Source organism: Homo sapiens, chromosome 2 (genome assembly GCF_000001405.40).
Source record: "Homo sapiens chromosome 2, GRCh38.p14 Primary Assembly".
Classification (NCBI taxonomy): domain Eukaryota; kingdom Metazoa; phylum Chordata; class Mammalia; order Primates; family Hominidae; genus Homo; species Homo sapiens.
Genome location: NC_000002.12, coordinates 213,603,693 through 213,621,138, shown reverse-complemented (window position 1 = coordinate 213,621,138; position 17,446 = coordinate 213,603,693). Strand labels below are relative to the sequence as shown.

At 36.8% G+C, this 17,446-nt stretch overlaps 1 protein-coding gene across 19 annotated transcripts in view; it reads right to left on the bottom strand.

Annotated features, from left to right (window-relative positions):
* Nucleotides 1-17,446, bottom strand: part of SPAG16 (sperm associated antigen 16) — a 1,126,038-nt gene that overhangs the window by 789,363 nt on the left and 319,229 nt on the right. Inside the window, exon 11 of one of the 19 annotated variants that reach the window (XM_011511828.3) lies at nt 9,704-9,746. The exons of the other annotated variants lie outside the window; for them this stretch is intronic. Within the exon in view, the coding sequence (XP_011510130.1) occupies nt 9,719-9,746 (28 nt within the window). The 3' untranslated portion in view covers nt 9,704-9,718. Of the gene's footprint in view, nt 1-9,703; nt 9,747-17,446 lie in introns of those variants that run through there. 19 annotated transcript variants of the gene reach the window in all.

The following is a 17,446-nucleotide window of genomic DNA, read 5'->3' as shown; positions in this document are numbered from 1 at the left end:
ACCAAGTTATTCTTCAATAAAGTTAGCCAAAGCATCTTACTAGCTTTCCTTAGAAAATTAAAGGTAAGTACTAAAACTAGTTTTTAGTTTTAGTACTAGAAAATTAAAGGTAAGTACTAAAACTAGTTTTTAGTACAAATAAAACTTGATATAAATCAGTAAAGAGTGATATTTTTCAATTGTCCAGTTAAGCATGAGCTTGAGACTCTTGAAGAAAGATCCACACATTTCAATGTAAAACTCTGATGTGTTTCAATTTCTTAAGCACTTAAATTTATCTGCAGACTCTAATAGTCTTATCATAAGCAAAAATTAAATATATATAATTACATTTGACAATAAAAGCATAAACATTACTTTTCATTTTATCTTTATATAGAATCATTGTATGTATTTATGGTTACAGAGTGATATTTCAGTATATATATACAATGTGTAATGATCAAATCAGAGTAATTAGCATATCCATAACCTCAAACATTTATCAAACCTTTATGTTGGGAACATTCAAAATCATCTCTTCTAGCTTTTTGAAAATACACAATACAGCCAGGCGCAGTGGCTCATGCCTGTAATCCCAGCACTTTAGGAGGCTGAGACAGGTGGATCACGAGGTCAAGAGATCGAGACCATCCTGGCTAACACGGTGAAACCCTATCTCTACTAAAAATACAAAAAATTAGCCGGGCGTGGTGGCGGGTGCCTGTAGTCCCAGCTACTCAGGAGTCTGAGGCAGGAGAATGGCGTGAACTTGGGAGGCAGAGCTTGCAGTGAGCGGAGATCGTGCCACTGCACTCCAGCCTGGGTGACAGAGTGAGACTCCGTCTCAAAAAAAAAAAAAAAAAAAAAAAAAAAAACTCAATAAATTATTGTTAACTACATTTACTCTGCAATGCTGTGAACACTAGAACTTATTCCTCCTATCAAGCTATAATTTTGTACCCATGGACCAACCTTTTTTTCTTTCCCTCTTCCCTAAACTTCTCAGCCTCTAATAACCATAATTCTACTTTATTCTTCTAAGAGCTCACTTTTTTTTTAGCTCCCACCTGAGTGAGAACATGTGGTATTTTATCTTTCTGTGCCTTACTTTACTTAGCATAATGTCTTCCGGTTCATCCTTGTTGCCTTAAATGTCAGAATTCCATTCTTTTTTATGTCTGGATAGTACTCCATTGTGTATATGTACCACATTTTATTTATCCATTCATCCGTTGATGGACATTTAGGTTGATTCCATATCTTGGCTACTGTGAATAGTGCTGCAATAAACATGGGGGTGCAGATGCCTGTTAAATATACCGACTTCCTTTCCTTTGGATAAATATCCAGTGGTAGGATTGCTGGATCATATGGGAGTTTTATTGTTAGTTTTTTGAGGAAGTTCCATACTGACTTCCATAATAACTGCACTAATTTACATTTTCATCAACCTTGTACAAGAGTTGCCTCTTCTCCACATCTTTTCTAGTATTTATTATTTTTTGTCTTTTTTTATATTAGCTATTCTAACTGGAGTGAGATGATATCTCACTGTGGTTTTGATTTGCATTTTCTGGATGATTAGTGATGTTGATCATTTTATATTATTGGTTATCTGAATATCTTCTTTTGAGGAATGTCTATTCATACGCTTTGCCCGTTTTTTAGTTGAATAATTTGGGGGTTGTTTTGCTGTTGACTTGTTTGAATTCCTTATATAGTCTGGATATTAGCCCCTTTTCAGATGAATAATTTGCAAATATTCTCTCTTATTCTACAGGCTGTCTATTCACCTTGCTTATTGTTTCCTTTGCTGTGCAGAAGCTTTTCAGTTTTATGTAACCTCATTGTCTATTTTTGGTTTTGTTGACTGTCCTGAACCATTTCCCCTATGCTTTCCTCTAGTAGTTCCACAGTTTCAGATCCTATATTTAAGTGTTTAATCCATTTTGAGTTGATTTTTGTATAGGCTGAGAGGGAAGGGTCCACAGTTTATAAAGTTTCAGATCTGATACCTATCATCCTTCCTAATCATTGCATAAAATTTAAACACTCTTGAGACTGACTTACATGTTGCTTTACCGTTGTAGTAATTTTTCCATTTATGGCTTAAACTTAAATTTAAGTTATTGCTAAATGGTTATATTTACAAAATAAAACTTGTTTTAAAATAAAATGTTTAACTTTGTTAATGAATGAGCCAACTATCTAACCCTGTAGTATAACTAGTTATTAAGAGAATAATTACTGATTTGTATAAGGTACAGTTAAACTCTTACTAAAAGAAAAGCAGGGAATCTGGAAAGAAAATTTAGCAATTAAAAAAAGGAAATGACTAAGACAAAGAAATCATGGAGTGTTTTAAGGTCTAGCAACCTAATCCACCTTGTGACTTTTCCTTTTTTTAAATTTTTTTTAAATTCTGTGCATGCAAAGAAAAAAAAAAAACAGAAATCCTCATGAAAAATGAAAGAGCATATAGCATATTCAGCAAACTATAAACACGATTCTGTTTAAGGCATAGGATAAATGATAATGTGTTTAAAGATAGAATGGAAAGGAAGGGCCTTCTGTGCCCCTGTTAAAGAGATTGGCATTATGATAGCTTTGGATTTAAGTAACAAATATCTATTCAAGTCCTACTTTAAATAAATGGCAATCTTATTCATAACCTGTTGAGGAAAGCAGATACTTTACAGTTTGGGGGGACTGTTTGTATGTTGGGAGGCAGCATAAAGAGACTAATCTTAAACAAGTAAAAATGCTTATTAATCAGATAATGACTGCTATGAAGGAAAAATATCATAATAGACTAGGGAGTGATCAGGCAGTGAGGATAGAGTAGAAGGCAGGGGCATTGTGAGGAAGTTCATAAAGATTTCCCTTTGAGAAAATGCCATTTGAGCGGAAATACAAATGCTGAGAAAGAGTCAGAAATATGATTTGGAGGAGTGTTCTATGTTGAGGAAATGTTAAGGCCAAGGGCAGACAATGGAAACCTAATGGTATGGACACTATAGTTATATGATAAACTTTAATCAGCTAACTATCCTAAGTGGGTTCTATTACATAGAAAAAGTTATTTATCTCTGCTACGTTTTCACAAAACAAGTTATTGAATTAAACAATTCAATAACTAGGGGCTACAACCTCAACCTTGACAAGCCCTTTTGAGGTGAGTGTAGGGGAAAAAGTAGCTGTGTACAAAGGAAAGTTTTGTAGACACACAGCACCACCAAAGGGCTGGATAGGCTGAGCTGAGGCCTCTTAAAGCTCTAGTGCTCATTCCTACTTGATGTCAATAGGGTTCATAAGAGGCATTTACTTATTCATTTTATTTTTTTGAGATAGTATCTTGCACTGTCATCCTGCCTGGAGTGCAGTGGCCTGATCATGGCTCACTGCAGCCTCAAACTCCTAGGCCCATGGGATCCTCCTGACTCAGCCTCCCCAGTAGCTAGGACTACAGGCACATGCCACTATGCCTTGCTCATTTTTAAAAAAAAAATTATTTTGGGCCGGGCATAGTGGCTCACGCCTGTAATCTCAGCACTTTGTAGGCCAAGGTGGGCAGATTGCCTGAGGTCAGGAGTTCAACACCAGCCTGACCAACATGGTGAAACCTGGCCTCTACTAAAAATACAAAAACTAGCTGAACATGGTGGTGGGCGCCTGTAATCCCAGCCAGTCGGGAGGCTGAGGCAGAAAAATCGCTTTAACCCAGGAGGCAGAGGTTGCAGTGAGCTGAGACCAGGCCATTGCATATTAGCCTAGGGAACAAGTGTCAAACTCCTGGCCTCAAGGGATCCTTCCACTTCTCCACTTCGGCCTCCCAAAGTGCTGAGATTACAGACATAAGCTATGGTGCCAGGCCCATCATCAGCATTTAAATGCCTCATTGTTTTTATGAGTGAAGGGCCCTTCCAGACTAGGTCTTATTAGGAGGGTACTTAGGAATAGCAATTAGCTTCAATCAATAGTGAAACTAGATTATTTTGTACTGTAGAAAAGCTATGTTTGGACTACTCAGTATTAATTTCCCTTCTTTCCCTTTCCTTTTTGGACTTATCTTTTCCCTATTCAATCCAGTTTCATCTGCAGGGGCCCACCTACCCATTACACACGGGACCAACACATGACCTGTGCATGCAAACAAAGACACTACAAACGGCGAGCATCCATCCAGACTGAGCTACAATAGCCTGAACAGATTTTTCATGTTGTGGTTCTTGCTTCCTAGACCCCAAGGTAACTCCATTCCTTCCTATTCCCAATACTGCTTCTTGTCTCAGTAACTTTTGGGTGCTCTTAGTAAATTCCTGTTTGTTTAAATTAGCCAGAGTACCCTATGCAGACAGAGTACCTTAACTGAAGCATATGACTCAGAATGAACTAGATTCTCAAAGTCCTAATATTTAATGTACAAGAGTGAAAAACAAAAACCATCATCCAGGAATCTTTATGAAAACAGGCCCATTAGGAACTCTGCCGTTAGACTGAGATTCAGTAGTTTGGGCCAGAGATCAGGAATCTGCATGTTTAATCAACTCCCTCAGGATTCTAAAGCAGATCATATTTTGAGAAAAAGTAAGCTAGACTTTCTGGCTTCCCCATCCTGACACCCCCCTTCTATGATTTACTGCTATCCAATGCTCAGGGTTACATCTTTTCAGGGTGCCTAATAACAGCGATTGTAGCTATGCTTGTTGTTGTTTGTTTTCTCGCCTCTGTGTTAAGAAAGTTAATGGGATGTTTCTGTTTAAAAGGCCTCCTGCAGAGTAGCAGACTCCTTAGGGAAAGAAAAGTAAACAAGAAATAGTTAACTGTGCCAACACATTAATTTATAGTATAATCTGCTCAATTATGCAGTAAAATTAGAACAATTTGTGGAAGCATGTTTCTTTTCAATCATAGAACATCAGAAAGTGAGTTCACATCTTCCATTGTTATCTTGAAAAGAGCTAGAAAAATGGCACAGAGGGCTTGGGTTTGAATCCCCCTCTTCCACTTAATGGTACATGGCTTTGAGCATTTGTTAACCAAGTTGATCTCCAGTTTCCTAATCGGTAAAATGGATTAATTTCTTTTGTTATTATTATCATACTTTAAGTTCTGGGATACATGTGCAGAACATGCAGGTTTGTTACGTAGGTATACATGTGCCATGGTGGTTTGCTGTACCCATCAACCCATCATCTATGTTTTAAGCCTCGCATACATTAGGTATTTGTCCTAATGCTATCCCTCCCCTTGCCCCCACCCCCAAAATGGACTAATTTCATAGGATTATTGTGATACTGCAAAAAGTAACAATCATTTTGTAAACCCTATAACATAATATATATATGCTATTAGCTACAGTTATAGGCTGGTCCTGCATTCTTGTTTAATGTGTAATTGCAGCTATTTACACAAAACAAACTAATATTATCTAACGTTAAATAACACAACACAATAAACATTTGGCTAAAGTTATCAGGTTAATTTAAGTTAATACATTGTCATGTCTACACTTGCAAAATAAAGTTTTTTGGGTTTTTTTTAATTGTTTTTGTTTGTTCATTTTTTTAGATAGTCTTGCTTTGTCGCCTATGCTGGAGTGCAGTGGCATGATCTCAGCTCGCTGCAACCTCCGCCTCTCAGGTTCAAGCGATTTTCCTGCCTCAGCCTCCCGAGTAGCTGGGATTTCAGGTGCATGCCATCCCACCCAGGTAATTTTTGCATTTTTAGTAGAGACAGGGTCTCACCATCTTGGCCAGGCTGGTCTCGAATTCCTGGCCTCAGGTGATCTGCCCGCCTCAGCCTCCCAGTGCTGGGATTACAGGCGTGAGCCACCGTACCCAGCCTAAAGTTTGTTTTAAATGACAGCTACAATGAGCAAAATCTCAAGAATACGAATACATTATTAATTCATAATAACAATTTTGGTACTCCTGTAGGTGGGTTTTTATCATCTGGCAAGACATGAGGATTGCAACTCTGTTTGTTGTCTGTATCATCTCAGTAGAATAACTGTACCCATAGTATATGTTCAGTAAGTATTTGCAGATTAACCGTCTGTCAACTTGACCTTGGGTAAATCAACTTAACCACTCTGAGACTCTCAGATTAGTTATCAATAAAGTGGTTCTAATAATACCAATCTTGAGAGATTGTTTTAAGAATTAATGTAAATGTATATAAAGCACTTAGGATAGTCCTCAGCAGTGAGAAAAATCAAAGAAATCATTGATTACTCCTTTTAACCTCTACCCCATCATTGGGTAAAATGTTATGGAACTTCCAGGAAGTCCTGTATTGATGTTTTTAAGCAATATTTACATCACAAGCCATCTTTGCTAAAAGCATAAATTATGTACCAACAGTGCAGTATTAACCAATCTTAATTTAAGATTATACTAATGTCCCATTAATATCTTATAAAAGCATAAGAGAGTTTCACAGATAAACTGAAAGAAGAAGATTAATCACACTTAAGATACAAATATTATAATGACCTATGTGGGACTATTGCTAACATTTGTGGTCAACCTTATCAACAGATGGAATACCCAGTTTTCAAGAAAGCGGCATCCACTATCCCAGGACAACACCAGGAGCTGTTGTGATGGGTATTTATTCTCTGATGCCTCTGAAGGACTGATAGCCAAAAGGGCCAGGTATCTGCAATAAGCCAGGCATCAAGGGTTGGTTTAAAAAGAATTTAAAGTAAATTGCATCCACTCTTTCTATCTCTCAGAGTGACAGAAGCCTGTTGATTACCATCAGTGACTGTCTTCTGGGTAGCACTGAGAGATACAAAGTAATACAGGAAAATAAAAAGATATATCATGTATCTTATTATGCCATTTGTATCCCTTTAAATGAAATTTGTTACAAAAATCAGTTGTTGGAAAAGCTTAATCAATCACTTGCAGGACGTTAAAAATCCTAGTGAATGCTGAGAACTTTCATTTTGTTTTAGCAAAACAGACTTAGTTTCATATAATTCCAGAATGTTCTACTCTCCCTTACATACACACACCCCAGCCAACAATGTTTCAATGAGTAAGTTGTTTGGGAAACAGTATTTTACCATACCCTCAATTCAAAATGTTCTCCCAACACAACAGGAGGATGGGATTTTAGAGTGGATTGCTATCCTGTTCCCAAACCTAGAGGAGCTCTTGCTCCCTGACCACACTGTGTGACAAAGAGATTGAAAGAATGATTCATCATAACATCAGTTTCTATTTGAAACCTTTGAGATAAGTACTTCCATTCTTAGTTTATATTCACTAAGCAGTGTTCTCTCGCCTACTTCCAAATTTTTTATTCCTATAGGGAGAGGAATAGGAAGAACCATCCATGCATTCACAAGATACTGCTTAGCATCTATTATGCATCAAGAACTGGAGCTACAGTAATGAAAAGAAAAAGAAAAAAGTTCTGCCTTCACAGAAAAAAATGCATTCTAGAGAAGAGGCAGAGAACAATAAACCTAACTAAAAAATATGTGCTAAGGAGAAAAAAGCACAAAATGTAGATAGGAGGTGTCAGAGATGTTTACAATATTTAGATAGGAAAGAGCTCACTAAGAAACTAACATATGAACAAGAACTTAAGCAGGTGAGGAAAAAATGCCTATAGATATTTGAGGGAAGATTATTCCAGGTGGCAGGAATGGCAAGTGCAAAGGCCCTGAGAATGGAATTACCTAGTCTATTAAAATCAAGTCAAGGAAACCAGTAAGGGGTGGAGTGAGCAAGGAGGCAGAGCATTAGGAGATAAGGTCAGAGAGCAACAGGGCTCCAAGTCATGTAAGGTCTTGTTGGTAATTAGAAGGACTTCAGCTTTTATTTTAAGTTAAATAAAGAGCCAATGAGTTTTGTGAGCCAAGGAGTACAATGATCTCCATATATTTTAATAGAATTACTCTGGCTTTTGTATTGAGAATAGATTTGGCTGGGGGTGAAGGGGAACACAGGGATAAGCAGGCAAACCAGTTTGGAGATCACTGTAATAATCTAGGTGATATGGAATAATAGCTTGGACTATAAGTGGTTAAAAATGAAAATGGTGAGAAGTGGTCAGATACTGCATACACTCTGAAGAAACCCAATAGGTTTCCCTAAATATTAGAATATTTGGTATTGGAGAAAAATAAAATCCAATAATGATTCCATCATTTTAAAAAATTATTCGGGCCGGGCACGGTGGTTCACGCCTGTAATCCCAGCACTTTGGGAGGTCAAGGCGAGCGGATTGCCGGAGGTCAGGAGTTCGAGACCAGCCTGACCAACACATCTCTACTAAAAATACAAAAATTAGCCAGGCGTGGTGGCAGGCACCTGTAATCCCAGCTACTCGGGAGGCTAAGGCAGGAGAATCGCTTGAACCTGGGAGGCAGAGGTTGCAGTGAGCTGAAACGGGGCCTTGGCACTCCATCCAGCCTGGGCAACAAGAGCGAAACTGCGTCTCAAAAAAAATTATTTTAATTTTTATTTTTCAAGGCTAGTCAAGTGGAGCAGTGAGCGCGAAGAAGGAACAAAGAAATCTGTAACAGGTTGTGATCAATTGGTGGTTGATTTTATGATTTTTGAACCAAGTTAACTGGGAAAATGGAGTTGTCATTTACTGAGGCAAAAAAGAAACAGGTTCAGAAGGTTATATCTGCACATGTTAAGTTTAAAATATCTATTAGATATCTAAGTGATGACACAAAGTAGGCAGGTGGAATTCAGCGTGGTGTCTTGGCTCAAGAGAAATATTTGGAAATCAATAATTTAAAGAAGATATAATTCTGAGAGAGAAAAAAGAAAAATTATAATAACTTATCCTAGGGCACTTAAACATGTAGATATTTGTATTTTATGTGTAAAACATATTAATAGTGACATTTCCCCTCTGAATGTTATTTGAACACCTGTTAGTTTTACTACATGTTTGCTAATTCAAAAAAAATTAAACATAAATATCCATATCTAAACTAAAGATAAGAGACATAACATTTCATATGGAAATATTCGCCAATGACTTCAAGCCCTCATTCTATTTTTGCTATAGGTATTTAATATGAATGAATCAGCCAATATTATAATTACACACACAAGCAGTTTTGAGATCAATAAAAAAGTCACTGTATTTACATAAAGCATTGCAACTTTTATTACTAATGTCATTATTATTATAATCAACTATTGATTCTTGGTTTTCATAGTTCCACCCATAAAAAATATTGATTGTGGAGAACATTCTGAAAGAAGTGTTACAAATGGGTAACTTTCTGTGAAGCGCCATAGGGAAAATGGCTATTAATTTTTTTTAAGTAAATAAATCTGTGGTTTCAATTGTAAAACAATATGAAACAAGAGATGTCTTTACTTCTCCAAAATGAAACCTAGTGTTTCTCATTTACATTCTTCAATATGTTATCACCTATTATTAGCTTATTAGCTAATAACTTGATATGTATAAGTGGATAAAAATATGTTTCCTAGTGGAAAACTCCATTTACCCTGGACATTTTATTACTAGTCTAAATAGCAAATCTCCTAAAAATAGAGCATTTAATGGTGTAGCTATCTGTGAGTAAATAAAATAGAAGGCACGATTCAAAGTATTATTAACTAAACACTCCATTTAAACCAAACAAACCCATAAAAATGGATTGAAATCCCCTACAGTATATCTAATATAGCTTACCAAGATTTAACCTTCTTTATTCTTCAATTTGGTAACCATTAAATTTATTTTTTCAAATAGTATGGTATTCATCCAGATTCCTAAATATAAAATCACATAGAAAAAAACATGCTATTAATACATGCTTACCAATGGACTGTCAACTTAATCAATGTTTTTGACTTTTATTTTAAACAAAAAACATGCCATAGGAGCCAAGGGAAAACTTCCCCTTTGCCCTCTGAAGGGTCACTGAAAAATCAAGTTACAAAAGGAAATTAATGGGAGAAATGGCACACAAATTTATTAAGGTGGGAGGGACAACACATGAGGGAGAACCACAGCATGACTACCCCCAACCCCTAGTGGGGTACAGAAATGTATCTATCATCATGAGGTTGTCAGAGACGTTCGAACCAGAGTGACTCCATCTTGAGTGGGAGCTAGGACAATGAGGCTGGGACTTGCTGGGCTGCATTCCCTGGAAGAAAGGTGTTCCTGGCCTCTAGATGTTTATGGTTAAGGAAACCGATTGATAATGTTTACTGAATAGACCCAGACTTGGGAGTGTCCAGATATCCCGATATCTTGAGAACAAAGAGATTCCTAATTTTACTTTAAAGATAATAATATTGATTCTTGCAAAATATAGTAATTAAGAAAACTAATTCTTCACCACAAAACCTTGTAACAGAGCACATCTCCTCATGACCTTTTTTTAATCCTATATATATACAAGCATTGTACCTAGGGTAGACGCGTTCTTCCTCTTACTTTCAGGAATGTCCTACTTTGTCTATGGAGAATCTGTACTTTCACCACTTTACTTTTTTAATAAACATGCTTTTGCTTTGCACTGCAGACTTGCGCTGAATTCTTTCTTGCGCAAGATCCAAGAACTCTCTTTTGGGGTCTGGATTGGGACCCTTTTCCTGTAGCAAGGTTACAGAAAAAAGCTTGGACCATGGCAAAACAGGTTATGGTGATAAAAAGGTTATGGGATGGGGAGAACAGGAGGTCTGGCCAGCAAAAGTGGTCTGGTTATGTAGACGAAATCTCACAGAAAGCAGCCCTCGGAGAGAATAGATGGTAAGTGTTTCTTTCAGATTTTCAAAAGTGTTAAACTTTCAGTCAATCTTTCCTACATTAAGAAAAGGGAAGACCTTAGAGAAAACCTGGCTACATCAAGCCAGATTTTCTCTACAGATGCAAATCTCCCTGCAAAAGGACAGCTTTGCAGGGCTACTTCTGTTTGCAGGTCCTCTTAACAAACTTCTCAAAATTTGTCAAAGAAGTATATTTTGCAGTGAAATACTTTGATTTCCCTCAATACTTAACAGTAAAATATTTAAAAATATTATTAATATAGGGAAGAAAGGGAAAATAAAAAATCAGCCAATAACTTTGAAATAAAATGGCAGGGGTATTTAAATAAAAGTGGCCATAATTACAACAGTAGGAGAGTGACAGCGGGATCTAGTAGGAGGCTCAGCCAGGAGCCTTAGCCAACCATGACCTGGCCTGACTAATCCCTAATTGAAGGCTGCTTTCTCTGTGCCCCTGGGGATTACATTGGCTGGATTATGAATAGGCAGAGGGGATTTTGTTTAGAGAATTAAAACCTGAAGAAGCTATGAATAAAATACACCTGCATACACATCACCAGAACACCACCATCACTACCATCATTAAAAGCTGAATTAAAGATCAAAACTCAATTTGCTGAGTCAAGAAATTCTGAAAGAAAGTAAGATCAATCTACACATTTAATGATGAGAGACATATAAAGTGGCAGTTTGGAGTGAAAAGGAAATAGTGGGGGAGATGGGCAGAAAATGCCCAGAGGGGACAGCTCCTATATAATAGAAAGCAATATAACATGAATATGATTGAAACAGCACTAGGAAAGATGTTTAGTGATACATGGAACTCAATAGATTGCTGTTCATGAGTGCAAGAGGGTGACTGGCTAGTCACTGTGGTATGTAAGAAAACCAACTTAGCATCCAGAAGATATAGCATTCAAAATAAATTTAAAAGACCACGAAGAGGAAAACAGGGAGAGAAAACAAAAGCTTGGAAAACTGAGATGGCAACAGAGGCACAGAAGAATTGGGATATACTTAAAACAGAATTTTAGATGTACAGTCAAAGAGGTTACCATTGCTCTAAAGCAAAGACAATTTAGCCAAAAGTAAGTGAAATGGTTAGAAATAGTCACTATAAATCACTGTTCCAGTAATTTAGAACATAGAATCAAGCTGATAGCTGCAAAAAGGCTTCCAGTGATCTGGGATTTTTCTGGCTTTAATTTTCAGAATGGAAAAATTCAGTGGATAATGTTCAGGCTCTTCATTTTTGTTTTGAAGTCAAGTCTCTGAGATGAATAACCAGTTTTACAATAATTTCTGCAAAATGACTTATGTAATTTTTATAGAGATCTTTTAAAAGATCGTCTGCTTTTATTTTTCTTTTATTTTTATTGCTTTTCTCTTTGAAAGTACAATACCCAGCTGGGTGCGATGGCTCACGCCTGTAATCCCAGTACTTTGGGAGGCCGAGGCGGGCAGATCACAAGGTCAGGAGATCGAGACCATCCCGGCTAACACGGTGAAACCCGTCTCTACTGAAAATGCAAAAAAATTAGCTGGGTGTGGTGGGAGCCTGTAGTCCCCAGCTACTCGGGAGGCTGAGGCAGGAGAATGGCGTGAACGCAGGAGGCGGAGTTGGCAGTGAGCCGAGATCCCGACTGCTGCACTCCAGCCTGGGGGGACAGAGCGAGACTCCACCTCCCATCCCATTACTGGGTATATACCCAAAGGATTATAAATCATGCTGCTATAAAGACACATACACACGAATGTTTCTTGTGGCACTATTCACAATAGCAAAGACTTGGAACCAACCCAAATGTCCAACAATGATAGACTGGATTAAGAAAATGTGGCATATATACACCATGGAATACTATGCAGCCATAAAAAATGATGAGTTCATGTCCTTTGTAGGGACATGGATGAAGCTGGAAACCATCATTCTCAGAAAACTATCACAAGGACAAAAAACCAAACACCGCATGTTCTCACTCATAGGTGGGAATTGAACAATGAGAACACATGGACACAGGAAGGGAACATCACACACCGGGGACTGTTGTGGGGTGGGGGGAGGAGGGAGCGATAGCATTAGGAGATATACCTAATGCTAAATGACGAGTTAATGGGTGCAGCACACCAACATGGCACATGTATACATATGTAACAAACCTGCACGTTGTGCACATGTACCCTAAAACTTAAAGTATAATAATAATAGAATAAAAAATGGAAAGTATAATATCTATCATGGTTGTGAACACCACCTCCCTGCTCCCCTCCTAACACGCACACACACACTCAGAAAAAACAAAACCAGAAAGAGTTGATGGGCATAGATTTGAACCTGTTGTCTCAAGAATTCTTAATAGATAACATTATAAAAAAAATTATACTTCACACTATAAAGGATCACAGTTAAATTTAGTACTTTCTAAAGTATTGTAAATGGATTGAAGTCCAGAAAGCACAAAATTAAACAAGTAGGGAAGGTTCTTATTAGCCTTAATGGAAGGGAAATTACTTAAATGACTTCCTAAAATCGGAGGCAGTTGCACCTGACAAATTATCAACTTTCTCCAGAGAAGAAAACAAGTATTCCCTGCAATCTGCAGGAAAAATAAAATGAAACCCTCCTAGATAGAATCCCAATTGTATCTTAGATGTATTTTAGAATGCACATGAGTGGAAATCATGCAGTGAAGAGGGCAGATAACTCACATTAGACAGAGGTATGGGTTTTGAATCAGTAGATTCCGGTGTGCATCTAAGCCTTGTCCTCAATGGCTAAGTTAATTTCAGTAATTTCTTCATCAGATATAAAATGACAATAATACCTACTAGCACTCTCCTTTATAAAAAGTAAATCATTAAATTAAACAGTGCATGAGAAAATTTTAAAATGTTCTTACTAACACAGGTGCTGTGAGTGAATGGACTTAATCTTCATAAATTTCACAGGAGGAGGTACAGAGCATCTACCAATATTAATCTAGAAAGTTAATTCACACACCTAATATATTACTTAGGCACTGAGAAAATATGGATCAAGACTTCTTTTTTTAAGAAAGGTGCAATAGAAAATATTTAATTCTAAAAATTATTGATTTGCTTTATACAAGGAAAGAAATATTTTACTACAGTATGTATTCATAGTTACATTTAAATTTTAATAATTGATTATGCTTTTGTGAAATAAGAAAAACTATCATGTAAAATATGTTCATGGAAGAAACTGAATTTGAGAACTTTCATGGCTGATTACTATTTGCTATTAAATCAAAACGAAACTGATCAATTTTCAAGACATTTTACCAACTAGTCTCTTCTTTCATCTACCAAACATATCATCTTTCTGATGAGCTCAACACATGCAATATAAACTTCTCCAGCTGATTTCTACTCTATTACGTGTCTCTGCTGTTTTCTTCCATGATAATATTTTGCCTTCTCTATTAAAACCTTCTCCATCCTTTTATTTTTACCCAATGATTCTCATAATATTCTGTAGATTATTCGCCATTGTTTCTGATGCCAAGATGGTGAGATGGTAGGACTGTAGTGCAGATGAAGCTTTGCATTTTGCCGAAGGTATGGATGATGCTAGAATTAGGGAAAGGTTCATTGCTAAATACAGATTGAGAGACACAGAAATCTGCTGAAATCAGCAAGCTAAAGTAGAGAGTCTTAGGGCCAAGTGTAGATAATAAAATCCAGGCTAAAGATAAGAATAGAAATTATGATCTGTAGTAGGCATAGCTGCAAATTAATCACTAGGATCAGGTGGATATTTGGTAACTGCACCAAGTAAAAAGATGTACAAGAATGTGCATGCCACATTATTTGTAATTAGCACAAATCCAGAAGTAATGTCAGAGAAGCATATGTATCATGGTCAAACAATTTATTAGAAAAGTTTCAATCAAAACACAATGAGATATCAATATAAATCAGTAAAATAGCTATAATTGAGAGGACTAATAATGTTGTCGAAAATGTGAATCAGCTAGAACTTTGATCCATTGCTTGTGGGAGCGTGAATTTTTCAACCATTTTGGAAAATGGTTTTGTAATATATAATATGCCTGAACATGTCCCCACTTTGTTGAGCATACATCCACCAAAAGACTCATACACGAATGTGCACATCAGCTTTATTCATAAAAAGCAAACATTAGGAAGAATATAAATGCCTTTCACCATAATTGTGGCATATGTATATAATGGAATGCTACTCAACACCAAAAAGGAATAAATCACTAACACCCACTACTTGGATACATCTCAGCAATATTATGTTAATGGAAGAAACCAGACACCATAGAGATGCCATTAGATTACATTCCTCTAAGGTTAATAAAGTCTTAATAAAGGCAAAATTAACCAATGTTCATTGAAGTTAGAATAGTGGTTACCCATAGAGGATGCCATCTGGAAAGAACCATGAAAAAAATTGCAGTATGGTGTAAATGGTCTATTATATATCCTGATGTAAGTTGTTTATATAATTGTATACATATGTAAAAATGCATCAAGCTGCTTAAGATTTGTGTACTTTACTATGTATATGTAAATTATGCCCTAAAAGTTCTCTTTCAGAAATGCATTCCAGGCTGGGTGCGGTGGCTCACACCTGTAATCCCAGCACTTTGGGAGGCCGAGGCAGGCCGATCACGAAGTCAGGAGATGCAGACCATCCTGGCTAACACAGTGAAACCCCATCTCTGCTAAAAACATAAAAAATTAGCCAGGTGTGGTGGCAGGCGCCTGTAGTCCCAGCTACTCTGCAAGCTGAGGCAGGAGAATCGCTTGAACCCAGGAGGTGGAGGTTGCAGTGAGCCGAGACCGGGCCATTGCACACTAGCCCAGGGAACAAGAGTGAAACTCTGTCTCAAAAAAAAAATATATTTTTGTAAAGATGGGGTCTTGCTATATTGCTCAGACTGGTGTCAAACTCCTGGCCTCAAGGGATCCTTCCACTTTGGCCTCCCAAAGTGCTGAGATTACAGACAGGCTGAGGCCAGAGAATGGTGTGAACCCAGAAGGCAGAGCCTGCAGTGAGCTGAGATCGCACCACTGCACTCCAGCCTGGGTGACAGTGCGAGACTCCATCTCAAAAAAAAAAAAAAAATGCATTCCAAAGTATTTATAGATGAAATAAAGTGTCTGATTTTGCTTCAAAATTATCCAGTATTTTGAGATAGTTGGGTGGACATATATAAAGTGTGATTGGCTACAAGTCACTAATTCTTGATGGGTACAAGAAGTTCATCTTATTATTCTTTACATTTTCATGTATACATGAAATATTCCACAAATCAATCAATCAATAAAAACTATATATACACATATATGCACACACAGAGAGAAAGGAAAAGAGATTTGGTGATGCGAAAAAGATAATAGAACTCAATGTTTATTTATACAAAACATAAAGTTTTGTATTTAATATAAATATTTTATATATAATATAAATAAAATAAATATTTACAAAAACGTTTACAAAATTATGCAGTAAAAAGTGGAAGAAATGAGAAGGTAGCTGGAATAGAATGTTGAATCAACAGAATATTGTGTACATATTACAAATTTAGGTTTTTTTCTTGAAGCAAATGAAGAAGAGTTAAAGAATTATAACCAGAAAAGCCATGCAGTTAGAAAATTAGGAAGATCTATTGTGTAGAAATAGAACTGTAGAAGGGAAAGGTAAAAGAGAAAAAAACAGCTTACAATTTAATAAATAATGTAGATCTATAATATGGCAGTAGCAATAAGAAATAGCATAGATTTATATAATAAGACAGTGCCCATAAGTTTTTAACAAAAATGGACTAATGTGAGAATATGGAAGATACTGAACCTAGGCAATATGATGATTAATTAGATGAAAGTAAGAAGGAAATGAGGACACATAATTCAATTGTTCATTTGTTCAGCACCTATAAATGCCAGGAATTTGATGGGCTTCAAGGAGCAAAAGTAAAAAATATACATGTATATGGTTTCTGCCTCATGAAGCTTGAGTACAATGAAGAGAAATCAGTAATAATGAAATGAACAAAAAATAAAGGAAAAAAATAAGAGTTCTGTAAAAAACAGAACTAGCTTCAGAAATTGAAGGGAAATGACAATTTAAATAGATGGCGCAGAAAAGGCCTCCCTAAAAACACAGCATTTAAACTGACACACAAAAATAAACAGGAAGTCAGGCAGGGCACGGTGGCTCATGCCTGTAATCCCAGCACTTTGGGAGGCCGAGGCGGGCAGATCACCTGAGGTCAGGAGTTCAAGACCAGCCTGGCCAACATGGTGAAACCCTGTCTCTACTAAAAATACAAAAATTAGCCAGGTGTGGTGGTGCATGCCTGTAATCCCAGCTACTCAGGAGGCAGAGGATACAGTGAGCCAAGATCGTGCCATTGCTCTTCAGCCTGGCCAACTTAGTGAGACTCTATCTCAAAAAAAAAAAAAAAACCAGGAAGTCTTTGGGTAAGAGATGGATAATACGGAAAGAGAAAAGAAAGTGGTTAATACTTGAAAAACTGAATTAAAGCCACAGATAGTGACAAAATAAGCAAGGGAATTAATGGAATGAACTGGAGTGTGAATGGTAGGCCAGAGGATTCAGCGCTTGTAGGAAAGAAAAAGAGTTTGGATTTTATTCTATACATCATAAGATAGCACTGAATCATTTTATGAATAGATCT